Raw genomic sequence first — 15,907 nt, 5'->3', positions numbered from 1 at the left:
TTTTAAATATGAAGGTGAAAAATTAGATTGATAACCAAACATCAAATATTCTGCTTCGGCTCTCACTGCTGCTTCCAGCAGACACAGACGAGGAGGGCCCCTCTTGTGCAGTGTGGGAGCAGAAACATAATCCCCTCCCTGTCATAAGCTTTGAGGCTTGTGTGCAGCAACAACGCACTGACAAACTGCTCACTCAGCTTCTTTCCTCACTGTCCTTCCACCCCACCACTAACCCGGCATACACAGAACAAAAGACAGCACAAGTAATATAGGTGGAAGGACTTCCAAGCAGTGAATACCCTGTCATTCTCTGCCTGGCTATCTGATGACATCTGTCTTCATAGCAGCAGTTCTCAAAGGGTGGTCTGGGGATCCTGGGATCCCCAAGACCCTTGCAGGAGGTCTCAAGGTCAAAACCACTTCATAATAATAACGTGGTGTTATCTGCCTCATTTGTGCTCTCTCCAGTGACTATAAGACGTGTGATGGCCCAAGACTGAATCAAGAAGCAGATGCAAGAATCTAGCTGACTTTCAGGAAATTAGACCTTAAAGCGACTTGCAAAAATGAAAAACGAAGCCTCTTCCAAATTTTTTGTTTTGGAAAATTAGTTATTTTTCATAAAAAACTTACATTAAAGTATTTATGTCAAGGTATGGGTTGTTGTTGTTGTTGTTTTTAATATGGAAGGCTTCACAAACTTGTGTCATCCGTGGGCAGGGGTCATACTAATCTCTGCATTGTTCCAATTTTAGTATATGTGCTGTTGAAGACATCACTATTATTATTTTTAAATGTGTTAAACTGATACTCAACATTTTTGTTTTAATTTATAATTTGATAAACACTGACAGATACGAGGGACCACTACTTTAGTTTTACCCAAATCCTAATCTAGAGCATTTCTGGAGATGAAGGTGGTCACCTTCTATTCCACTTTTTCCTATTGCCTTCTTGGTCCCAAGTCTGTGGGTGGCTCCTTCCTGCCTTCTGTGACACCCTCCCTGTTCTGAGCCCTCTACAGTCCACTCTCCATAGCATCCAGATTCATCTTCTTGGCACACGAAAATCACGTCGTTCCCCTAATTAAAACTTTCCAAAGAGATTTCACTGCCCTTAGAATAAAGTCCAAACTGCTTGCCACCAGCTCCAGGTCCCTGCATGATCTTACCACTGCTCTTTCCAGCTGTCCTGGCTGCACTTCTGTCCCCTGAAGACACTAAGCTCATTCAGGCCTTTGCCTCTGTAATCACTACTCCTACTATCTGGCATGTTCTGCTCCAGACTCAAAGGTCACTTCTTGGAGAGGTCTTCCCTGGCCACCAAGTCTAAGTAACCCCCATCCTGATCATCTCCAGAGCACTTACTTTTGTCTGAAAATCTTCCTCTTACATGTGTTCCTCCGACTAGAATGTAAACTCTGGCAGAACAGAAACTGCCTGCTGTTCCCTTGGCCTAGAAGGGGGTCTAGCACATGTTGGGTGTTCAATGCTTGTGTTGAAAGACAAAAAAGACAGGTCCCCAGTCCTGCCCTTGGCTTAGGCCCCAACAGCCAGAGCCACCCTACAGCAGGTCTCTGCACCTCACTCAGCTCATCTCTTCTCAGTGTGAACATTGCGTTCCATTTCTTTCACAGCTGTTGACAGCCCTGCCAAGTGGCCCACAATCTTATTTTGACCTTTTCTCTTTCCATCACTCACTACTTATTAATACAGAATACTGCTGTTTTTCAGATGGACTACCAGCCAAAAGGTACAATGGAAAAGATAAAGTTGTTTCCTTAAATGGCTGAGTCCCTTGCATTTTACCACAATTTGCACTTCTTGGTTCAGAACAGTGTAACACAAAGACTGAAGTTTGAGATCTGACAGACCTGAGCTCAAATTGTCATTGTTAGCTAGGGCCTTGGAAGTATCACTTAAATTCTCCATGCCTCATCTATACAATGGGGATAATAATGCTTTCTTAGCTAAATATTTAATAAGATCAAATCGTACAAAGATTTAATAAGCTATGAAAAGCACCTAAAAGCTCAATTAATTTTAGTTTTCCTCCTTTCTGGAACTCCTGACCTCAGGTGATCTGCCCGCCTCGGCCTCCCAAAGTACTGAGATTACAGGCATGACCCACCGTGGCTGGCCTTAGTTTTCTTCCCTTTCTAATAACTGGATAGCACAGCCTGGAAAAAAAGGTTCAATCCCATCCTTGCCTAATAAGAGATTCTTTCTTGATATCTGCTAAAATGTAAGTTCTTCAAAAACTGATGTGTTTTCATTATCAGCAAGCATACATTTCCCCAAGAGTGAATGAAACCAATATCTCATTTTTATTGGCCTAAAATGGTGACTGGCTTTGATCATCTATGCAAAATGCGACTAGGCACTTACTACAGATGGAGGGGATCTTAATTCAACTGAGTTGGTTTTATTTAAAATTAAATTATCAGTAGACTGGAGAGGTCTGTAGAGGTTGACAATCACATCCCCTGCAATCTCATTAGTAAGTTTTACTTTCGCAGTACTAATAAGATGGAAGGATAAGTTTAATGATAGTTTTTAACATCATACTGCTAAATGTAGTTAGGGCCCTCAAGTGTTGTAATGGAAAAATAGATCTCAATAACAGATCCCTATGAAACAATGGAATACATTAGCTAACTGGCATGGCAATCTAATTATCCCTGAAATGAATACTCGCACAGACTGAACATTAAATCATCACCATGACCGGTTCACAAAAAGTATGGGTTAAAATGTCACTGGCTAAAAGCAGAGGTAAGGAAGATGTTGCATGTGGAATATGCCATGTGGCATGTGGGAATACAGTTGTAGGTGCCTAACCAGGAAAAAAGTGTATTCTACTAATGTGATCTAGTCACTGTGTGTGTGAAAGACCTAGTCACTGTGTAATACTTTCACCATTTAAGTAAAAGATCTATTTTGTGATCATTATCAACAATTTAGAGACAGAGTATGTATCTGCTACCAGGCAGAGAATAAAGGCAGGAACCAAACGAGCACCTATTACATGTGCCAGGAACTGTGCTGGTCGTTGTGTATACATCACTGAATGTCATTAGCTGTTATATCAATTCAAGCAAAAATAAAGCACAATTTCCAAGAAGTGTTTTTTCATGTGAGTGCTAGCCCTCCCTCAGCACACACGTCTTTCTCCAAACTGCCCATAAAAAACATTGCATTGAAGTCCATTTTAAATTTACAGAAAATATATTCATTTAAAAATATTCTGCCATTTTGTGAACTAAAGCTATGTCTTCACTCCACCCAGGGAAGTTGGCTAGCTTGAAGAGGGATGCGACACAATGAGGAACATACATTGCTAAGTGTCTTCCAGGACAGAGACCTCACACATATCACACTACATTCAATCTTCACTATCTTCCTCTGAAGGAGAACGTTACATCTGAGGAAACTGAGGAATGCCAAGAACACTGTCTATTGTGTGTTATAGTGCATGCTGCAAATATTTTCTTCCCATTTCATCTTTTGCCTGTAATTTTGCCTTTGTCTTTAACATAGAGTTTTAAATTTCTAGGTAATGAAATCTATATATTATGGCCTCTTAGAAGAACTTATCCATATCTCAAAAATATATAAAACCTAGGCAGGGTGGCTCACACCTGTAATCCTAGCACTTTCGGAGGCCAAGGCAGGTGGTTCACTTGAGCCTAGGAGTTTGAAACCAGCCTGGACAACATGGAGAAACCCCATCTCTACCAAAAATACAAAAATTAGCTGGGCGTGGTGGCATGTGCCTGTGGTTCCAACTACTCAGGAGGCTGAGATGGGAGGACTGCTTGGGCTCAGGAGACTGAGGCTGCAGTGAGCCAATATTGTACCACTGCACTGCAGCTTAGGTGACAGAGAGAGACCCTGCCTCAAAAAAAAAAAAAAAGCATAATTATCCTTGTTTTCTATTTCAAATTTCCCTTTATATCTTTAATTGACCTGAAATTTATTTTGGTTTATGTTAGGAGATGGGATTTTAGCTTTGTCTTTTTCCAAATGGCTAATCAGCTGTCTCAACACCATGAATCTTTTCTTCACTAATATTAAGTGCTATTTTTATTGTACCCTGAAATCCCATCTATAAATGGGTCTGTTTGTAGACTGTGGCCCAATCTTTCCTTTCCTATACCAAGACTATATTGTTTTAATTGTTACTTTATGTTTTATTAACAGCTGCAGTAAGATCTTTTTTTTTTCTTAGCTACTCTAATGATTTCAAGTGAACTTTAAAAATTAATAACGCCCTACAGCCATGCTACTCTCAATGTGCCCGATCTTGTCTGATCTCAGAAGCTAAGCAGTGTTGGGCCTGGTTAGTACTTGGAGTGGAGACTGCCTGGGAATACTGGATGCTGTAGGCTTAAAACAAGGATCAATGAAACAAATGGCAAAACTGCAGTTCTTTTCTCTCCTGCCCACCAGCACACAAAGGCTTTTAAAACAAAACCTGATCCTCAAAGCAGTTCACCTGAAGTTTCCTGTGTGTCTGGGTATATATGCAGAATATAAATATATTTATAGAGAGAAATTAGAGTAGTTTTTCAAACCTTAATCAAAAGGCTCTGCTGTAAGTATATATTCTTGCTAAAAGGACCCAAACTGTCTCACAGTTGAAGTCTCTGGAAAATTTTCAGAAGTTTAGATAGAAGGAAAGTCACTGACCTATTGCAGGGGAGGGAGACTAGTCAAACAACGTAGCAGTAAAAAAATAACCACAAAATTCTAGGGAAGAATCTTAGACATTCTAATCACCAGATTCTGATACTTGGAATCCATATTATGGACACTAAGCACGGGAAAAGAAATGTGGGAAAAACGGGTGAGGTACAAAATGGAAGAGCCGGGCACAAGACGATGCGTAAACGAGATCTGACTGAGACTGCTGCTGTCAGGCACGAGGAGAGCTGTCGCCCGACCCTGGTGTGTCCCTTTGTTTCCAAGCATTCCCACCTGGTCCTCCTGTGTGGGGACTATTGTCTTTATTTTCTAAATAAGAGAAATTTTCTCACGCACTTTAAAAGCTTTATAAGTATATACGAACAATACACAGAAGTACCAGTAAGGCAGCCTCTAAAACTGGAGTTAGACTAAGAAATCGACATGTATCAACAAACTCAGAGCCACAGCTGAATGATATCAACACAGTTAAAGAATGTGACACAGAGTGAGTGAGGAAACTCAGCAAATGGGGAGTCTGGTGACGGTGGCAAGGTCTTCGCACTGCGCACAGGATGGGACTCCGACCCAAGGGTTCGGTGGCAGACCAATGCATGCACCACACTGCCTCCAGTCTAGATGTTAGCAGCTCTTTGATATACCTCAATTCAATGGTGGCTTTTCAAGAAAAAGAATGCATGCTACCACATTAAGTAAAATAATTAATTGAAAGTCATACAACAATCTTAGAATCTTCAGTATCAAGTAAAAAACAGTTTATACCTCCTTGGGGAGAAGGACACATGAGCCTGACATCCTTAAGCACTTGTATTATCCAGCTCACTCCTCACAGGCTAACTCTGTGCTCACCAAGCAGCCTTCCAATTATATTACCCTTCGGCATCTGAATTTTCTACATGAAGAGAACATGCCAATATGGAAAGGCAGGTGGTGGGGCCTTTGCTGATGTTAATAAACTCACATTCTAGTTTATTCCCCAGGCTCTTGTGAGCACACTCAGCATGAATGCTGCTCCTAGAGCTCAAGTCATTTTCTGTGCTCTAACAAATCCGAACTTCTTAGTCCCTCAAGCAAAGGATTAGACCTGGAATGCAGGGCCTTACTGGGGTGCTGCCATGGTGGGAATCTTGCTGGGAATGAGTGAGCTGGTCTGCACCACCCCTATTAAATCACCTCCCATCAGTTTCCCAACAGCACACACAGTAAAATTAAACACATCTACTTTGAACTTGGGAAATATAAACGTTAAAGCTCCTTAACCTTCAAAAGTTGACTGCCTGGCAGCGTGTGGTGGCTCATGACTATAATCTCAGCACTTTGGGAGGCCAAGACGGGCAGATCACTTGAGGCCAGGAGTTAGAGAGTAGCCTGACCAACATGGCGAAACTCCATCTCTACTAAAAATACAAAAATTAGCTGGGTGTGATGGTGCATGCCTGTAGTTCCAGCTACCAGGAGGCTGAGGTGGGAGGATCACTTGAACCCGGGAGGCAGACGTTGCAGTGTGCTGAGATCACGCCACTGCACTGCAGCCTAGGTGACAGAGCGAGACCCTGTCTCAAAAAAAAAAACAACAACAAAAAAAACCAAAAAAAACCCCCAAAGTTGACAGCCCTAACTTCATGACAGCATTATGCAACTGCTTTTACTTTACAGTGAAATCAACTTTCATTTAAAAAAAAATTTGCTCCCCCAAATCAATCTATTTCTCACTGGATCTTGCTAATTAAAAAGCATTTGATTAAAAAATTAGCCAGACATGGTGTAGCATGCACCTGTAATTCTAGGTACTCAGGAGGCTAAGGTGGTGGGATACCTTGAGCTCAGGAGTATGAGGCTTCAGTGAGCTATGATGGTGCCACTGCACTCCAGCCTGGGCAACAGAGAGAAACCCTGTCTCTAAAAAATATAAGAATAAAAAATTTGAAGAGCAAAGCATTTGAGTGTTTGCGTGTGTGCGTGTCCACTGAAGGATGCAGAAGACGGATGGAGACAGAACTCTTCAGAAATAACTACTCAGAAATAACTGAGGTAAATACAGTTTATAGCTCTTCAATTACTCTATGAAAATTTCCAAATCTCTGTTCTGAATGAGTCAAGGCAAAGGCATGAAAACACCCCTACAAGGCCGCATGTCCACATCTGTGGAAGGTTGCAGACTAAAAGCTTCCCATGTCAGCGCTGAGCAGACTTCTAAGTTAGCTGTGTATCACCACTCTGAGTCCCTTAAGAGAGCTGTTGTGAATCACCACAGCAGGGGTGAGACCCCATTCTGCCTGTGTTCCTGACTAACATTCACAGAAACACTCCGCGGGTACATGCAGTGCACCAAACATAGGTGATTCATTCAAAAGAAATCTGCCAAAACAGAAAGACAAGTAGAGCTAGGTTTAACGGTGTGCTCCCTGAAAACTTCTGGAACACATCTCTGAAATGTTCTCAGGTGCCAGGCAGCTTCTAAGAAGGCAGAGTAACCTCATCTCCTGTCTCCTATTACTCTTGCCTTTCATCAGGGGGTGTTCAAGAGGAGGCAGCAGGCAGCAGCAGCCTTTAAAAAATTTGTCAATAAAAGACAGCAGCTGGTCAACTGGAACAGTGCAGCTGAACTCCCAGCATCTGACACGGAATACCCTTCGCCTACAGCTGCCACCTCCCAGGCCAGGCCTCCAGCCCACCCTCCATACTGATGCTAGCTCTGGTCACTGCCACTCCCCTACGGAATCCCCTGCAGTGCCCTGCTGGCCCAGGACCAGGCCAGACCCTGACTCATGGACACACCCTCCCCCATCTGGCATTCGTTTTGGCAGAGCTATCTGGAAGAGCCTTTACTACCCTGTGTCCATGTGGCAAGCCCCATTTATCCTTTACTATCCTCAGCTATCATGACTGCAAAAGCTTTCCACCTCAGCCCTGCAAGATGGTCTCCACCAGCTTCGATGCAAATTCCCTATCTTGTACATTCATTCATTTAATAAGTATTACGCACCTAATAGATGTCAGGCATTGGGCCCAAGGAAACAGGAAGAGCGATACTGACAAGATCCATATGCCACACTATGCTTATCACACTGAACTGTAATGATTTCTGGGCTATCTTTAAGACCAAAGTCACATTCTACTTATTTCAGTATCGGTAGCACTTAGCCCAATGCCTGGCACATAGTAGGTACCCAATGGGCATTTTTGTGATTGTAAAAAAGAAGGTTCCAACAAGCTGCTAATTAGCTTTTACAAGTAACTTAATAATGACAAAAATAGCAGGCACTAACATTTATTGAGCATTTACTATATTATCAGGTACTGTCCTGACCCAATTACATGTATTATTTAATTTCCAGAACATCCTATGAACAAGATGTTACATAGCCCCCACTTTACAGAGAAGAAATCTGAGGTTCTGACAGGCCAAACATCTAAGAACGGGTACATGTGGGCTATAAAGCGCTCCACAGTGCTGGGAATGCCTACGCATCTGCTGTTCAATACAGTAGCCAGTGGCCACACGTGGCTGTTCAGTGTTTGAGACGTGGCTGGTGCAACCGAGAAAAGGAATTTTGAATTGTTTATTCTATTTTATTTTATTTTAGAGACGGAGTCTTACTCTTTCACCTAGGCTGGAGTGCAGTGGTGCAATCTCAGCTTACTGCAACCTCCGCCTCCCGGGTTCAAGTGATTCTCCTGCCTCAGCCTCCCGAGTAGCTGGGATTACAGGTGTGTGACACCACACCCAGCTAATTTTTGTATTTTTAGTAGAGATGGGGTTTCACCATGTTAGCCAGGATGGTCTCGATCTCCTGACCTCGTGATCCACCCGCCTCGGCCTCCCAAAGTGCTGGGATTACAGGTGTGAGCCACGGCGCCCGGCCCCCACAATTACTTTCCTGTGGTCTCAGCTATAAAATTACCAACATGGATGTGTTCCATAGCACTTCTTGGGACCTACCTGTATGCCAAGAACCACACTGGACACTGCAGGAACTATCAAAGAAAGCCATCACAGAGCTCCTGGAGAAGAGGGGAGCCCAAGAAGCGGTCCTAGCTTCAAAGGCAGAAAAGACATTTCTGTGTGCACTATCAACATAAGCAAGAAAAGAGGGTCTGAGCATAAAGTGACCACAGGTTAGAGGAACTCCAGGTCACTGGGACAATATGATGCAGTTTATGGAAGGCCACTTTTAGCCACTTTTTTTTTTTTTTTTTGAAACAGGATCTCGCTTGTGCAGTGGCGTGACCTCGGTTCATTAAAGCCTCGACCTCCCAGGCTCAAGCAACCCTCCCACCTCAGCCACCCAAGTAGTTGAGACTACAGGCATGCACCGCCACACCTGGCTAATTTTTGTATTTTTTGTAGAGATGGGGTTTTGCCATGTTGCTTAGGCTGACCTTAAACTCCTGGGCTCAAGCTATCTGCCTGCCTTGGCCTCCCAGAGTGCTGGGATTACAGGTGTGAGCCATGGCACCAGGCCCAAGCTAACTTTCAAGAATGTAGCTACTGCATTAAGTAGAGGGATCCTGCAGAAGGAAATAAATCCATTTACTTAACTAGCAGTCACTACATGATCTGAATCATGTAGCACAGTATATGAAAAGTAGAGACTCCATGAATATACCAAACAATAGCGACTTGTACTCTTTAAGTGGATAAATTGTATGGTATATGAATTATAGTATTTTTGAAAAAGCTAGTGAAAATTAGTAACAAAATATTCAGCCAATCCGAAATCCACTTTTTTCTTCTTTCCACCCCCCTACCCCCGGCATCACCAGTCAGCATCTGTTAACAATCTGAAATCTTTTTATTCTTTTTTTTGTTTGACACAGAGTCTCACTCTTTCGCCCAAGCTGGAGCGCAGTAGTGCAATCGTGGCTCACTGCAGACGTGACCTCCTGGGCTCAAGCAATCCTCCCACGTCAGCCACACAAGTGGCTGGACTACAGGCATAAGCCATCACACCTAGCCATCAACATAAAGCCTTTTTTTTTTTTTTTTTTTTTGAGACAGAGTTTCATTCTGTCACCCAGGCTGGAGTGCAATGGCACGATCTTGGCTTACTGCAACCTCCACCTCCCGGGTTCAAGCAATTCTCCTGCCTCAGTCTCCTGAGTAGTCGGGATTACAGGCATGAGCAATCACTCTAATTTTTGTATTTTTGGTAGAGACAGGGTTTTACCATGTTGGCCAGGCTGGTCTCGAACTCCTGACCTCAGGTGATCCTCCTGCCTTGGCCTCCCAAAGTGCTGGGATCACAGGTGTGAGCCCCCGCACCCGGCCTAACAATCTAAAATCTTAATGAGAAAAGAAGTACTCAGAAAAACCCCTCGAATCTTCTGTGGAATGATTGCAAACACATATCTTAGAACTGATGAAATAAAGGCTGAGGAGTGAAAGGCAGGCCTACTTGGGAGCTACCCATAGTGATTTCAATACTGAATTACAATATTCAATAATTGAATTACATACAGAACTACACTGTGAGGTAGGTTCACATATAGTGTAGTTCAGGCCCAGAGACCGATGGCTGAAATAATAATATGTTGAAAACATACCTCTTCTAGGCTGAGTTGCAAATACTCAAAGATCCTATATGGATTTCTTCTGCATATTAACCTGTTTCTTTGCACCAACTAAAGAGAAAGAAATACAATATATACAGAACAAATGGAAGCACTACATGTCATAGAGAATGTATTTTAAAATGAACATTTTTCTTATAAATTCCCAGGATTCACATTCTATTGTGTTAATATTATAAAGAATGATTAAAACACAATTTTTTTGAGACGGACTCTTGCTCTATTGCCCAGGCTGGAGTGCAGTGGTGTGATCATAGCTCACTGAGGCCTCAAATTCCTAGACTCAAGCAATTCTTCTGCCTCAGCCTTCCCAGTAGCTGGGACTACAGGCGTGTGCCACCATGCCTGGCTAATTTTTTGTACAGACAGAGTTGCCCAGGCTGGTCTTGAACTCCTGGCCTCAAGCAACCCTCCCGCTTCAGCCTCCCAAAGTGTTGATTACAGGTGTGAGGCACCACGCTTGGCCAAGAAGTGCTTTTTTATTACTTGTGTGGAAAAGGAAGTTTTAACTTTTTCACTATGAAGATTCTCATTTATTTCCTTTTTCCCCTGTGAATTTTTCCTGCAGTTGTAATCATTTTGTTGGTGAATTTTATTTTACGTGTTGCTTTTTTCACCCAATTGTACCTAATAAGCATGTGCCTATGTTTTTGTTTTTTTGAGACAGTGTCTCACTGTTGCCCAGCCTTGATCTCCCAGGCTCAAGAAATCCTCCCACCTTAGCCTCTTGAGTAGCTGGGACTACTGGCATGTACCACCACACCCAGCAATTTATTTTTGTTTTTAGTAGAAATGAGGTCTTGCTATATTGCCCTGGCTGGTCTTGAGCTCCTGGCCTCAAGTGATCCTCCTGCCTCGTCCTCCCAAAGTGCTGGGATTACAGGTGTGAGCCACTGCACCTGGCTCCTATGTTCTTAATATGACTTCATAAACCTCATTCTAAGTCTACATGATATTTCTTTGAATGGGTATCTCATATCCCATTTAGCAATTAGATTGTTTCTAATTTTTAGCAATTCCAGACAGCTCTAGGGTAACTCTGACAGCAAGTCCCTTCATGACGTAGCTCTTACCTGGCCTCCCTAGGCTTTTCTCAAGATGGCTGACTTCCACACGTGAGCCCTTCTTGCTCAGCTGTACTCAAGATCAGGTGTAATTATCACCGCATTTTGTTTTCTCCCAAATAAAGGAGAGAATACCACTGGCCTTGTCTTAATTTTATAAATTTTTTTAAAAGTTATTCACCAACTCTGGGGTTTTAGTTGAAATGGCCCTCACAGCTGCTGTGGCCCAAAGCCTGCTGCTTCCCTTGGACCCTACAACAGGCCAGCTACCAGCTGCAGGCAAAAGACATCCCTATTAGCCAACATCTCCAGGAACGGATGGCTTTGGAGGAAGCGATTTATTTTCTTCTACTTACTTCCTCATTTGGGGCAGCCTCCCTCTCGCTCATGGCACACTCCGCTTCCTCGACCAGCACGTACTCATGGTCAGGCCCTCTGTCCCCAGGATGCAGGAGGCCGATGTGCTGGCTGCCGTCTTCATGATGAAGGCCACGCTGGAGGATGAGAGCATCTTGTTTGCAGCAACAGACATGGGGCAGAGGTGAGGCATCCTCTCGCACGCTTTTCTCAAAGCTCTCTGTTGTTGGGTGGCAGCCAGAGCCCTCCTGCAGGCAGCCTAATGGCTCACGGGGATCACCCACACCACCTGACTTTCCAGAGTCCCCGTTTACCACAGAAGGTCTCTCTCCCCCTGCTGTGCCTTCCATGTTGGAAACCATTCCAGAGTTAAGCTTGTCATGCACTTGAGCCTCTTCATTCCTTTTCACAGGAGGATGCTCAAGCGGTTTCGTGTAATCCTTGAGGATTCTGCGCACTGTACTCTCATCCTGCCCCTGTCTACGCATCAGCTCTGCTGCCCACTCAACACTATGCTGATACCTGCAAGACAGAAATACTGTTAGAAACAGCACTCGAATTTCAAAATTGAAAAAACAACAAAGCACATAAAACAGACTGGAAGGTGACACACCAAAATGTTTACAGCAGTATTATTGAATGGTGCATTATAGATAAATATTTTTCTTCTTTATACTTTTCTGCATTTTCTTTTCTTTCTTTTTTTATTTTTTTGAGATGGAGTCTTGCTCTGTTGCCAGGCTGGAGTGCAGTGGTGTGATCTTGGTTCACTGCAACCTCCACCTCCTGGGTTCAAGCAATTCTTGTGCCTCAGCCTCCAAGTAGCTGGGACTATAGGCATCTGCTAACACACCTGGCTAATTTTTGTATTTTTAGTAGAGATGGGGTTTCACTATATTGGCCAGGATGGTCTCGATCTCCTGACCTCACGATCCGCCCGCCTTGGCCTCCCAAAGTGCTGGGATTACAGGTGTGAGCCACCGCGTGTGGCCTCTGCATTTTCTAAGTGTTCTGCAACAAGCATATGTTACTTCTTGTTTCTTTGCTTTTACAATATAGTTTCATTTTATTTGCTTTATTTGAAAAAAAAAAAACAAAAAAAAAAACAAAAAAAACTAACCCCCAGTTTAACAAACTATGAAAATTTATCTAATTTAAAACTGATAGATTAAGTGATTTAGGTAAATAAACAAGAAAATGGCCATCCTTTATCAAGATTTTTTTTTTGTATTATTGTTGTTATTTTTTGAGATGGAGTCTTGCTCTGTCACCCAGGCTGGAGTGCAGTGGCACGATTTCGGCTCACTGTAACCTCTGCCTCCCGGGTTCAAGCGATTCTTCTGCCTCAGCCTCCCGAGTAGCTAGGATGACAGGCTTGCGTCACCACCCCCAGCTAATTTTTTGTATTTTTGAACACAAATTTTTGGCCAGGCTGGTCTTGAACTCCTGACCTCAAGAGATCCGACCGCCTTGGCCTCCCAAAGTGCTGGGATTACAGGTGTAAGCCACCGCTCTCAGCTTGTTTTGTATTATTTTCAATTTTGGATCTCATAATGTTTTCAGATAGATATGCCATTCATAATACAAATAACTTGTTTAGCATTGGAAAGCAAAATGAGAATTTCAATAAATATTCATCACAGTGCCTACTAACCCTTTCACAGGATAAGGAGAGAAATGATTTGGCTTATGTAGATTCATCCACATATTCTAACAGAAATGGCCCTTTTCCTCACAATACTTTGCAGAGTAGATTTTATTGATAAAATTCTTGTTAAGTTTCTAAAACTTGAAGCTAACACCCAAGTTACAAAACACTTCCCAAGTTACAAAAAATTATAGGCAAAACAATAGGGCAAAGCATTCATGCCTAGGCTGTTGGGATGTGTTCATGTGATGTGAGAACTACCAGATGTTGGAAATCTGATCAGAAGGTCAAAGACATTGTGAAACTCAAGTGCTTTTTGCCTCGACCTTCAGTGATTAGTCTGAAAGGCATCCAAGACAACACGTGGCTTGTGAGAAGGCAGATGTAACTTTACTTTTCACCTTCTTTTACCTGGTTAAGAAGACTGAACAGTGCTCGATGCGGCAGCACATATACTTAGAATGGCCCCTGTGCAAAGATGACACGCAAATTTGTGAAATGTTCCAAAAGAAAAAAAAAAAGACTGAATATGTCATAGTTTACAAACTGCTATATCTCACACAGTTCAACAAGGACATTGGCTTCTGCTGTACCTAAAAAGAGACTAGTGGTTGCTTAACCCTGATTCCTAAGAATCCCAAAGCTGTCTATACCCTGTTCACCCCACATGAGGATGAACATCAGGGATGCCTCCCTATATACTGGGAATTGTATCCTAAAGATTAACACCTGGTAAGGCTACCCTAATACCTGAGAGTCAGTACGGCACCGTGACTTTGGTATGGCACATTTTGTGTCCAGCCCTGTTACTTATAACTGTGTGGCAATGCAAATTACTTAACTTCTCCGTGCTTCAATTTTCCCACCTATAAAATGTGGAGATGAGTACTACCACCTCAAAGGGATCTTGTTATGTATTACTTTTAAAACCAGCAAAAAGAACATAGCTGTGCCACAACCTGCAGGGTGTCTTCTCACCTGGAACATGGCCACCTATGCATACGTTTAAAAGAACTTTCATGTGAGGGGTCTAAAAAGAATCTTAGCTCTTCATATCAACATAAGCATTGGCTCTACAGGGTCTATAAATTTCCTTTATTTGAACACAAATTTTTGTGACAATATATTTTTCTGGGGAAGGGACCCAAAACTTTTGCCAAATTCCGTGACTCAAAACACGTGACAGAACCACTGATTTAAAGGGTCAATAGTTCCTCCTTTGACCAGAAGATCTGGAGTGAAGTGAGCACACAGAGGGCACTGCTCTGCTCTTTGCAGCAGAGCAGTCAAAGCAGACGTGGGTTCCAATCCTTGCTCCATCACGTTCTCATACCAGCTATATGACCCCACCTCTCTAAGGCTCAGTGACCATCTACAAACCAGGGATAACTGCACCTACCTCCTGGGGTTGCAGCAAGAATTAAATAAGACACGTAAAGTGCATAGCCCATAAGAAGTGTTCAATCAATACTACTATATCATTGTGGAGTTTTTAGGAGTGGCTTGAAAAATAAATCAGACTCAATATATGGTATCTTGAAAAAGATGTTAATGAATGGAAATGTCTTAATTTGCTGTTGAGAGCAGAGGCAGCAGTGCAGGGATGAACGCAGCCTCTGGAGGTCTAGGTCCTGGAGTTGGCTCTTCCGTGTGGCTCTGAGCTAAGCCACTTAGCACTTCTACCTCTGTGCCTTCTGTCACATACCAGAACCAGGCCATACCTGTGTTCCCTTTTCAGGGTCTCAGAGGATCGCTATGAAAAGTCAAAGGAGACTGAGGCTCGAAGAGCATGTAGAAGAAAGCCTCCAAGTCAGATATGATGAAAAGAGCCACACAAACAAATGACTAAGACAACGACACATGGGTCAGAGCTGAAGGCGTCCTCTAGCTGGCTGGCAACACCTTAAAAAGCCAAGTCCTGTTGCCATCAATCCCAGATGCTGGAGCAGTTGCAGGAAGAGAAATGAGAAGTAAAATGCAGAAAGTGTTAAGGGGGAGCGTGGCAGAAGGATGAGGCAGCAGCCACGACTGGAAGCAGTGACAGGACTGGGGAAAGCAGCACCATCCAGGACCGCAAGGACACAGGACGTGCCCATCAGAACACGCCAAGGCTTCTCATGTTTCTGCACCCTTGAACACACACCTCTCCCATTTGCACAGGGCACCGTTCCCTATTGTTGTACTGATGAATGCCCCTTTATCACTGGAAGTGCACAGCAGAGTGGTTTAGAGTGGTTAGCGCACATAGGTTCTGGGGCCACAGTGCCTAAGTCCACATACTGACCCTGAGCAAGGAGCTTCACTTCCCTGTGTTCAGTTCTTCCAATTGTGGAAGATGGATAAGAACAGGACCCACCTCATGGCAGTGATGTGAGGACCTGAGATGACACACAGGCCCATCACTGGCACGATACTTAGCACTGGAAGGTGCTCAGGGAGTGCTGGTGTGCACACCCATATCAATGTCTCCCAGGCTCTGGCGCTGAGCCCACGTAATCTTGGGCAAGCTACTGAAGCCTCCCCTGAGTCCCCATCTACGAAACAGAAACATCTCTAGT

The 15,907-nt window shown here is 43.4% G+C and overlaps 1 protein-coding gene and 2 pseudogenes across 42 annotated transcripts in view; 1 reads left to right on the top strand and 2 right to left on the bottom strand.

Moving 5' to 3' along the window:
- Positions 1-15,907, bottom strand: part of TSEN2 (tRNA splicing endonuclease subunit 2) — a 59,394-nt gene that overhangs the window by 24,140 nt on the left and 19,347 nt on the right. For 18 of the 42 annotated variants that reach the window (XR_007095741.1, XR_007095740.1, XR_007095739.1 and 15 more), the window contains 2 exons: positions 11,701-12,223; positions 10,254-10,331 (listed from right to left, as the gene is read on the bottom strand). Coding sequence is in view for 20 of the 42 variants with exons in the window: in XM_047449029.1 (XP_047304985.1) it covers positions 10,254-10,331; positions 11,701-12,223 (601 nt within the window). In the remaining 22 variants the exon portion in view is untranslated. Of the gene's footprint in view, positions 1-8,649; positions 8,778-10,253; positions 10,332-11,700; positions 12,224-13,760; positions 13,818-15,907 lie in introns of all 42 variants that reach the window. The other 24 variants (XR_002959592.2, XR_007095737.1, XR_007095736.1 and 21 more) reach the window with 6 other exon arrangements.
- On the bottom strand, positions 678-779 carry RNU6-377P (RNA, U6 small nuclear 377, pseudogene; annotated as a pseudogene).
- RNA5SP123 (RNA, 5S ribosomal pseudogene 123) lies at positions 4,272-4,390 on the top strand (annotated as a pseudogene).

The sequence above is a fragment of the Homo sapiens genome, chromosome 3 (assembly GCF_000001405.40).
Source record: "Homo sapiens chromosome 3, GRCh38.p14 Primary Assembly".
NCBI lineage: Eukaryota > Metazoa > Chordata > Mammalia > Primates > Hominidae > Homo > Homo sapiens.
Note: the sequence above shows the minus strand (reverse complement) of the source record. Positions and strands in the feature narration are given on the sequence as shown.